We start from the raw sequence: 10,053 nt of genomic DNA, 5'->3' as shown, positions 1-10,053 counted from the left end.
AGGCCTCATCCTGCTTGAGCTGTGGAATCACCCCTTCATCCTTAAAACCCATCTTCTCCATCCCCCAGGGCCCCTTCTCTAGTCCAGGTCCCCCTTCCTCACTGCTGACGCCCCTCAGCCTCCTCTGCCTGCCCCTTCCTCCCGGACCTCTGCAGGGCAGATGCAGCTCAGGACCTTGGGTCGCCTCTCTTCTCATTCTACTTGCTCTCCCTAGGCAGTCACATCTATCCTTGTGGCTTAGATACCAACCAAATAAGGGTGGCTCCCAAAATTCAATCTCTAGCCCAGACGTGGCCCTTGAACTCCAGACTTAAATTCCACCTGGCTACTCAACCCTAGCATGTGGCTGTCACATTCAGAATGTCCAAAATCAAACTTTCGATCTGCCTTCCAAGCCCCTTTGTCAAGTCGGCCCCATCTCAGAAAATGAAACTCTGCTTTCTGCTGATTAGACCAAGCCCAGGCACCCTCATTTTTCTCTTTCTCTAACAGCCTATGTCCAATCAATTCACAAAACCTGATGGTTCTTAGAGAGACCCAGGACCTGACCATTTCTCAACACCTCTGCTGCCACACCTTCGGCCAAGCACCGTCACCTCTGACCTCCACGGGTGCAGGCGCCTCCTAACTGGCTTCTCTCAAACAGGGATCATCAGCTCTTGACCCTTCTGGGCTCATGATTCTTCAGGGCCTTCCCCTCACACTCAGAGAAAACAGAGTCTTCATCTCACCCTGCAAAGCTCTGCATGGCCCCTGCTGCCTCTCGCACTCACCCACAATCACACCAGCTGCCTCTGCTCCTCGATGCGAGGAGTGCATTCCACATGCCCAGGTGCCGCCAACCCATGCGCTCGCTCCCTCCACTCAGGCCCTGCTCAAACACCACCACGTCAGGGGCCTTCACTGACCTCGCAGAAGACGCCACCCCCTCCTTGTTCCCTGTCACTCCCTGTCCCCTGAAGCTGTTATTCCTCCTGTTAACACCATGAGCCCTGATCCGACAATCCATCATTATTGCTGGGGTGTGAGCCATGAAGCAGGGGCTTGCCTCTGCCCCTGCTGCGTTCCCCATAATCCACGACAGCACTGGCATGTGGCAGGCACTCAACAGACACGTGTTGGATGCCTGAACACGTAAAGCATGGAACCCTGTGCCTGGAGGGCGGCATGGACACAGCCTCCTTGAAATAAACAAGTGACCACCAGGCATAAAGCTCAGCTGCGACTAATGCATTCGCTCTGAGGAGAGAGAAGGCAAACCCTGGAGAAGAGGCAGGCGGTGCTGCCTCAGCATTGCCAGCACCCACGCCACACTCCCTCTGCTTCTGTCTTGGGTGGGCAAGACGGAGAGACGCTGTATACCATCCACACCCGAGCTTGTTAGGAAAATTATTTTCCAGTTGCTCTCTCTGCTTCTCTACAGACTGTGCCCTGTAAATTCAGGGCACATGGAGGCAGCCTGGGGTCAGTCTCTGTTGAGTCGCCCTTTGCTGTGTGGGCCGAGCAGCACTGCCAGGGACGCAACAAAGAACGTAGGCTTGAGCAATGGGCGGCAGAGCCCTGATGACTGGACCTCACTGAGGACCCCTAGAATCCCCTTTTGCTTAAGTGCTCCAGGGAGTTATCCACTCAGTAAAGCTCAAGGCAGCTTATGTCTCAGCCTCATGCCTGGCACCTCGAGGGCCTGGTCTGGGGACAGTGCTGCTTCACCATTCCGTCCCCAGCACAGAACAGGGAGGGGGGTTGGTCCTGAGCCCGGCCCTCGGCGTCCTCCTTCATTTCTAGGTGGCGGCCCAGGGCCTGAGGATGGCCCGGCCTGAGCTTTCCCCGCCTCCAGGCTCCGTGCCTGCGCCTCCACTTTAGCACAGGGGCCTTCAGTGATCCCGCTGTCACCACAGGATCTCTTTTGAGTGGCCTTTTTGCCCAGGAGAGAGGAAGCATCACTCCTAGGGAGAGGCCCCTGGCTGGCCCCGGGAGGGCTGACAGACACCCACAAACACATGAGGCAGAACAGAAAACCAACCTGCTTCTTGGAGCTGGAAGTCTTGCATTTACCTAAGAGAGCTGGTGCTGCTTCCATCTTTGGAAAGCGAGAATGGAAAGAACAGTGAGAAGGCAAAAAAAGCAGAGCAAGCACATTCACTTGAAAAGAGATGAGCCATCCACGAGCAACGAAGAGTCCAGAGCCTCATGAGGCCAAACCCTGCCACGCATCGAGGCACGGCCGGGCTGACCATAGACGGCTCCCTGGCTGCTGACAGCAACTCAGCCACTCCCATCTATGGGGACAGCCAAACCCAGAGTGCACAGAACCACTGAGGGGAGCGGGGGACTTACATTGTCATCGGAGTCTCCACCTTGCATCGTGCCCACAATGCGTTTGCCAGGTCTTCCTGAGAACAACAAAAGCATGAAGAAGTCATAAAAATCTTGGAAAATAAAGCAGGAAATAGCATTCAAGATTTGTTTTCTGGCCAGGCATGTTGGCTTTTGCGTATAATCCCAGGAATTTGGGAGGCTGAGACAGGAGGCCAGGAGTTTGAGGCCAGCCTGGGCAACATAATGAAACCTCATTTCTACAGAAATTTTTTTAAACATTAGCCAGGTATGGTGGTTCACACCTGTAGTCTCAGCTACTCGGGAGGCTGAGGCAGGAGACTCGCTTGAAACCAGGAAGCAGAGGTTGCAGTGAGCTGAGATCGTGCCACTGCACTCTAGCGTGAACGACAGAATGAGATTCTGTCTCCAAAAAAAAAAAAAAAAAAAAAAAAAAAAGCAACTGTGCTCCAAACATTAACAGGTGGTAGATAAGAAATGTTTTTAAAGGCAAATATAGGAGAATTTTATAGTATTAAAATAAAAATTTATGGAACCTTTGACCTAAGAATTTGACTTTTAATGATGCAACCTAAAGATATGCAGACATGCAGAAAGATGTATATACAAGGAAAAGAGGGGAAATATCAATGCGAGAACGCCCAGTAAATCATGGGTACAGTCCTGCTAGGAATATGACATAGCCATTAAAAAGTAGGGGGCAGGCCAGGAGTGGTGGCTCAGGCCTGTAATCCCAGCACTTTGGGAGGCCGAGGCGGGTGGATCACCTGAGGTTGGGAGTTCGAGACCAGCCTGGCCAACATGGTGAAACCCCGTCTCTACTAAAAATACAAAAATTAGCTGGGTGTGGTGGCACGGGCCTGTAACCCCAGCTACTTGGGATTGCAGGAGAATTGCTCCCTCCGGGAAGCAGAGGTTGCAGTGAGCCAAGATCATGCCATTGCACTCCAACCTGGGGACCAAGAGCGAGACTTTGTCTCAAAAAGAAAAAAAAAAAAAATTAGGGGGCAGATCTATTGCTGACAGAGGAAGAGTTCCAATTGTACTTAATTTTTAAAAACAAAAGCAAGTTGCAGAACCATACATACCGTCTGGTTGCACTCAGGTTAAATTTTTTTCAGGTGATCTTTGTATGTGTATGTGTGTGCGTATGTATATGTACAGAAAGGTAATCTGTAAAGACACACCCACCCTGGCCACTAGCCATGAGCCCTCCCAGGTGGGAGTGGGACATGAGGAAGACCCCAGGAGAGAATTCACATTTGCTCTACAAATTTTGTTGCCTGAGTCTTTTTTTGTTTTAACTCTTTTTTTTTTTTTGAGACGGAGTCTCACTCTGTCGCCCAGGCTGGAGTGCAGTGGCGTGATCTCGGCTCACTGCAAGCTCCGCCTCCTGGGTTCACACCATTCTCCTGTCTCAGCCTCCCGAGTAGCTGGGACTATGGGCGCCCGCCATTGCGCCCAACTAATTTTTTTTTTATTTTTAGTAGAGACGGGGTTTCACCGTGTTAGCCAGGATGGTCTCGATCTCTTGACCTCGTGATCCACCCGCCTTGGCCTCCCAAAGTGCTGGGATTACAGGCGTGAGCCACCGCGCCTGGCTTAACTTAGTTTTAAGAGCCCCTCTATGTTGCCCGGGCCGGAATGCAGTGGATATTCACGGACACAATCATCACATACTACAGCTCCGAGCTCCTAGGCTCAAATGATCCTTCTGCCTCAGCCTCCTGAGTAGCTGGGAATAAGGTGTGCACCACTGCGCTGAGCTTTGTTGCTTGAATCTTTTGTGATGAGTAAAGGAATTAGAAGAACTTTTTTTAAGGCAGAGATGCTCATTTAAGTCCCTTTCTGCATTAATTCTCAGGCTATTAAGTATATCACTGCACTGAGAGTGGCAGAGGCAATGTGTTCTTGTGGCTGTGAGAAATACCAAGCCATAAATATGAACCATCCAGTCTTGGGATCACAGACAAGGAGCAAACATGACCACTGAGCAGTTCAAGAGCCATAAACAACAGGACAGGATAAACCTGAGCAAGAGCTGCTTCTAGGGGCCATTCGCAGCACGCTTGTGGGCCTCAATACTAAGCAGCCTGCCCCAGTCCTGGCCAGGTGTTCTGTGAAACAGGGCGCAGGGAGGAAGTCCAGCGAAAGACGCCGGGGTACCTTGCATGAGCATCTCCATGGCTGTCTGTGGCTTGGGCAGCCGCCTTTCTTCCAACTCACTGTCGGATTCATCGTCCTCCTGGATGTCTATGTCCGAGTCATCGTTACCTAGCAGGAACACAAGCAGGCAAAACAAAGGAGTGGCTTCATGATCACAACGAAACAGCTCTGCCCAGTAAGGTCTGTGTGCAAAAGTCATTTGTTCATTTCTTATTCTATCCAGGAAATTAAGACATTAAATCCTTATCCCATGCAATGCAAATCAAATTATATAATCAATTTTAAAATAAAATTAATACATGTACCTCAGGCTCAATAAGATTTCTTCTTACAACTCAAACCAATACAGACCTGAGAAGTGAGCAGGTAAACTAAAGTCAATTGCTATTATATGATTTCAATGTGTCTCCGAAAAGCCTGTGTTGGAAACTTAAATCCCAATGCAACAGTGTTGGGAGGTGGGGCATACTGGGAGGTGTTTAGGTCATGAGGGCTCCGCCTTGAAGAATGGATTAATGCTGGTTATAAAAGGGCTTGAGGCTGTGAGTTTGATCTCTTGCTCTCTCTCGCCCTCTCTTTGCCCTTCTGCCATGGGATGGTGCGGCAAGATGCAGCTCCTTGATCTTGGGCTTGCTCCTAGAACTGTGGCTCATTAAATTTCAGACAAGTAAGTTTCTGATTATAATGATAATAATATAACCTAATACTAATATATTATATATGTTATATAATTGTCATATATTATTATATATAATAATATATAACTATATAACATATATAATTATAAATATAAATTTATAAATTATAAATTATATTATAAAATATATATTATATAATATATTATATAATATATTATATTATAATATATATATAATAATATAATATATATTATATAATATATAATAATATAATATATATTATATAATATATAATATATAATAATATATATAATATATAATATTATATAATATATAATATATAATATATAATAATATATAATATATAATAATATATAATATATAATAATATATAATATATAATAATATATAATATATAATATTATATAATATATAATATATAATAATATATAATATTATATAATATATAATATATAATAATATATAATATATAATAATATATAACATATAATAATATATAATTATATAATATATATAATATAATATAATTATATAATATATAATATAATATATATTATATATAATAATATATAATATAATATATATTATATATAATAATATATATGACATATATATATAAACTACACACACACACACACACATACAAAACTGGCCCTCTGTATCCATGGATTTCACATCCATGGGTTCAGCCAACCATGGATCTGAATTATTTGGAAAAAAAATCTACAAAGTTCAAAAAAGATCTACAAAGTTCCAAAAAGCAAAACTTGAATTTGCCACATACCAAGTACTATGTTGAATCCATGTGAATGAAGTGATGTATAGGCATTATGTTAGGTATTTTATGTAATCTAGAGATGACTTAAAGTATATGGGAGGATGTGCATAGGTTACATGAAAAGGACTTGAACATCTGTGGATTTTGGTATCCACAGGTGGGTTCTGGCACCAGTTCTTCGCAGATATTGAGGGATGACTGCATGTATCCATATATACAATGCTGTATATATTTTATGTAAAATATATAATTACCCAGTCTCAGGTATTCTGTTACAGCAGCACAAAACAGACTAAGACATTAATGCATGCTGACACTGAAACCACTGAGCTGACAGTGACAATTAAAATTAATGGCTGACAACATGCGAGTATAACTCAATGGGGAAATAATAGTCTTTTCCACAAATGATAATAGGACAACCGAATAGCCACATGCAAAAGAATGAAGTTGGACCCCCTGTCTCACACCATATACAAAAATTAACTCAAAGTGGATCAGAGACCTAAATGTAAGAGCTAAAACTATAGAACTCCTAGAAGAAAACACAAAGGTAAATCTTGGTGAATAAAGCAAGATCAGAATGGCAGGTCTTAGCATCCTGGCCCGGGGACAGCATGGGATGCAAGCAACAAACCAGGGCTCCTAGCTGAGCTGGGCCTCTCGCAAGGGACAAACCCCATGCAGGCTGATCACTGAGGGCTGCTTCACATGCTCCTGGCTGACATGGAACTAAAAAGGGGAGGGCTGCTTTGGCTAGACAGGCCCTTCAAATTTCCTAACCTTGTTCCTGGAGGATTTCCCAGCAGTCCCTATCCTTCCTCCAAAGTTTCCTGAGATTCAGACGAGAGAGTCACAGAACAGGTGCAAAATGAGAGAGATACAAGGGAAATGGCAAAGAAAGAGAAAGAGAGAGAGAGAGAGTGTGTGTGGGAGCATGTGTGTGGGCCTGATGCCTCAAGTATGCTGCCCTCAACATGAGAGTGAATAGAATATTTCACCCTGAAGAAAAGAAAGGGCAACCAGCAAGAGGAGGAGGAACTCCGTGCAACAAGGCCATCAATTCAGCAGGAAGATCCTGGGCTGCTACCGGTCCCTGACAGTGACTTGACACTGAAGTTCAGGGATGTAGGGTACAGCCCCACAGGGTCGGTGGGTTTTCTCCCCATGTGCAGAGATGAGAGACTGTAGAAATAAAGACACAAGACAAAGAGATAAAAGAAAAGACAGCCGGGCTTGGGGGACCACTACCACGAAGACGTGGAGACTGATAGTGGCCCTGAATGCCAGGCTGTGCTGATATTTATTGGATACAAGACAAAGGGGCAGGGTAAGGAGAGTGAGCCATCTTCAGTGATAGGTAAGGTCACATGGGTCACGTATCCACTGGACAGGGGGCCCTTCCCTGCCTGGCAGCTGAGGCAGAGAGACAGAGAGGAGAGAGAGACAGCTTACGCCATTATTTCTGCTTATCAGAGACTTTTAGTACTTCCACTAATTTGCTACTACTATCTAAAAGGCAGAGCCAGGTGTACAGGACAGAACATGAAGGCAGACTAGGAGCATGACCACTGAAGCACAGTATCACCGGGAGATGGTTAGGCCTCCGGATAACTGCGGGCGGGCCTGACTGATGTCAGGCCCTCCACAAGAGGTGGAGGAGTAAAGTCTTCTCTAAACTCCCCCGGGGAAAGGGAGACTCCCTTTCCTGGTCTGCTAAGTAGCAGGTGTTTTTCCTTGACACTGACGCTACCACTAGACCACGGTCCACTTGGCAACGGGCGGCTTCCCAGACGCTGGTGTTCCCACTAGACCAAGGAGCCCTCTGGTGGCCCTGTCTGGGCATAACAGAAGGTTTGCACTCTTGTCTTCTGGTCACTTCTCACCATGTCCCCTCAGCTCCTATATCTGTATGGCCTGTTTTTTCCTAGGTTATGATTGTAGAGCGAGGATTATTATGATATTGGAATAAAGAGTAATTGCTATAAACTAATGATTAATGATATTCATATATAATCATATCTATGATCTATATCTAGTATAACTATTCTTATTTTATATATTTTATTATACTGGAACAGCTCGTGCTCTCGGTCTCTTGCCTCGGCACCTGGGCGGCTTGCCGCCCACACAAGGATAAGGGAAGCTGCCTGGTCACAGAGAGCTCCTTCCCGGAATCTAGGCTTTGCATGGACGTAACCCTGTGTCTCTCCAGCTGAGTGTCTTGCTGAGCCATTCTGGATTATGGGGGGCATCTCAGCAGCATGGGGACCATCACAAAGCGAGCGGCCCCTCTCCCTGCACTGCATCCCAGTGCTTGCTTTCCATCATTCAGCCTGAAAATACAGAACCCTACACACATCTAGGGCCATGTTTTCTTATAGTTACGCATCATATATAATTCAAACTATCATTTAAACAGGGGAAAACACTATCTTAACTGGCACAAGAACGAAATGTGTTTTAAATGCTATATTTAAACCAGACTCTTGAGTGAATACAATGGTACCCAATATAGAAGTTGTGAGAAAACCGCCTTTTGAAAATATTTTTGTACCTATAGTCAACAATAATTTATTATACTTTTCAAAATTGAAGATGTAAAGTGAAGTGTTCTTACTACAGTAAAAAAAAAACTGCTGAAAAAAAGAAGAAAATACATATTAAAAAATATATATATATCTCTCTATATATATTTCAAGGCTGAAAATACTAGTCCAGAGTAAACTGCTCGTCTACGAAGCCCAGCCTTACTTCCACTCTTGAGCAGGCGCTTCTCTTCCTCCTTGAGCTTGTTCTGTATCAGGCAGAGAGTGTTTTTAGCTTCCTGTGGAAGAGGAAATACAGACTCAGGAGAGATGGCCCTTTTCTGGACTGTTCTATTCTTCTTCACCACTGTGTAAGGACTGCTAAGTTTGTGCTACAGAACAAAAAAAGAGCTAAACTCAAGGAAGGGGAAGAGAATTAACACTGCCTGAGCAACTCCAGGGTCCTGAAACTTACTGCCCTTTCTCTCTGCGGTTGCCTCGTGGCCTGGTGGACAGGGGCGCCCAGAGTGAAGCAGCTGCCCCACCCCATGCTTCTCCGATTGCATTTCCCTGCCTCTGAGGAGAACTAAATGCCCATCACGCATGCCTGTATGACCTGGGGACACAGAACAGACACATCTAATTTTAGGGCAGAGACAGGCCTCCTGCTTTCAAAGGAAGAAAGTATAGATTTTATCATTTATCTTTCCTGCCCTGCCTTCAGATTCCAGCTCAAAAGATGCTAAATGGTGGGACAGGTAAGGATGGGAACAGGGGTGGGGACAGGAGGAAATATCTCAGATCATAAAATGTGGCCTTGATTATTATCAAGAAAGAGAATGGGGGCTGGGCGTGGTGGCTCACACCTGTAACCCCCACGCTTTGGGAGGCCAAGGCAGGAGGATCACTTGAGCCCAGGAGTTTGAGACCAGCCTGGGCAACATAGGGAAACCTCATCTCTACAACAAATTTAAAAAATTTAGCCAGGTATGGTGGCAAGTGCCTATAGTCCCAGCTACTCAAGAAGCTGAGGTGGGAGGATCGCTTGAGCCCAAGAGGTCTGAAGCTACAGTGAGTTATAATCACACCCTGCCCTCCAGACAGAGTGGCAGGCAACAGAGTGAGACCCCGTTGAGAAAGAGAAAGAGACAAAGAGAGAGAGTGGGGGGGAGGGACAGACAGAGGGAGGAAGTTGGCTTTATATATTGTTGTTCTAAACATTAAAAATAAAGCACTGTGTTTCCGGCATGGGGTATTTCGAGGGAACAGGTATTCTAACGACAGAGAGCGAGAGTGAGTAAGAGAAAAAGAGATGTACTTGTTGAAGGAAGGGTAGGGTAGAGGGGCTCCCTGGGAAGTTTCCTGGGCCACCTACCTGCCACTCTGAGGCATACTGTTTGGTTTGTTCTCTGAACCCAGAGGTGGCCCCAGATAATACAAAAAAATGGCCAACGTTTCTTTTCACTGCCCTTGACTGTTCTTTCCCAGGTACCCAATGTTTAAAATGTTCTAAACTCCAAGCTCTTTCTAGTGCCCTCGAAATGTGCCTGTCCCGTACCATTTCTCCATGGCCTGCCTCTGCCAC

General features: G+C 45.5%; 1 protein-coding gene across 8 annotated transcripts in view, besides 1 other annotated feature; it reads right to left on the bottom strand.

The window, feature by feature from the left end:
• CLUAP1 (clusterin associated protein 1) overlaps nt 1-10,053 on the bottom strand; it is a 43,622-nt gene that overhangs the window by 3,870 nt on the left and 29,699 nt on the right. For 4 of the 8 annotated variants that reach the window (XM_047433797.1, XM_047433799.1, NM_001330454.2 and 1 more), the window contains 4 exons: nt 8,695-8,767; nt 4,504-4,611; nt 2,338-2,393; nt 2,024-2,080 (listed from right to left, as the gene is read on the bottom strand). In XM_047433797.1, coding sequence (XP_047289753.1) covers nt 2,024-2,080; nt 2,338-2,393; nt 4,504-4,611; nt 8,695-8,767 — 294 coding nt within the window. Of the gene's footprint in view, nt 1-2,023; nt 2,081-2,337; nt 2,394-4,503; nt 4,612-8,694; nt 8,768-10,053 lie in introns of those variants that run through there. The other 4 variants (XM_047433798.1, NM_015041.3, NM_024793.3 and 1 more) reach the window with 2 other exon arrangements.
• Nucleotides 3,974-4,474: an enhancer, noted in NCBI's record as "H3K4me1 hESC enhancer chr16:3580705-3581205 (GRCh37/hg19 assembly coordinates)". NCBI's record gives its function as "activates a minimal SCP1, AML or CMV promoter by ChIP-STARR-seq in naive H9 embryonic stem cells {active_cell/tissue: H9 hESC(naive)}" and the evidence as "EXISTENCE:reporter gene assay evidence [ECO:0000049][PMID:30033119]".

This window comes from Homo sapiens, chromosome 16, assembly GCF_000001405.40.
Source record: "Homo sapiens chromosome 16, GRCh38.p14 Primary Assembly".
NCBI lineage: Eukaryota > Metazoa > Chordata > Mammalia > Primates > Hominidae > Homo > Homo sapiens.
The sequence above is the reverse complement of the archived record's forward strand: the minus strand, read 5'-3'. Positions and strand labels throughout refer to the sequence as shown.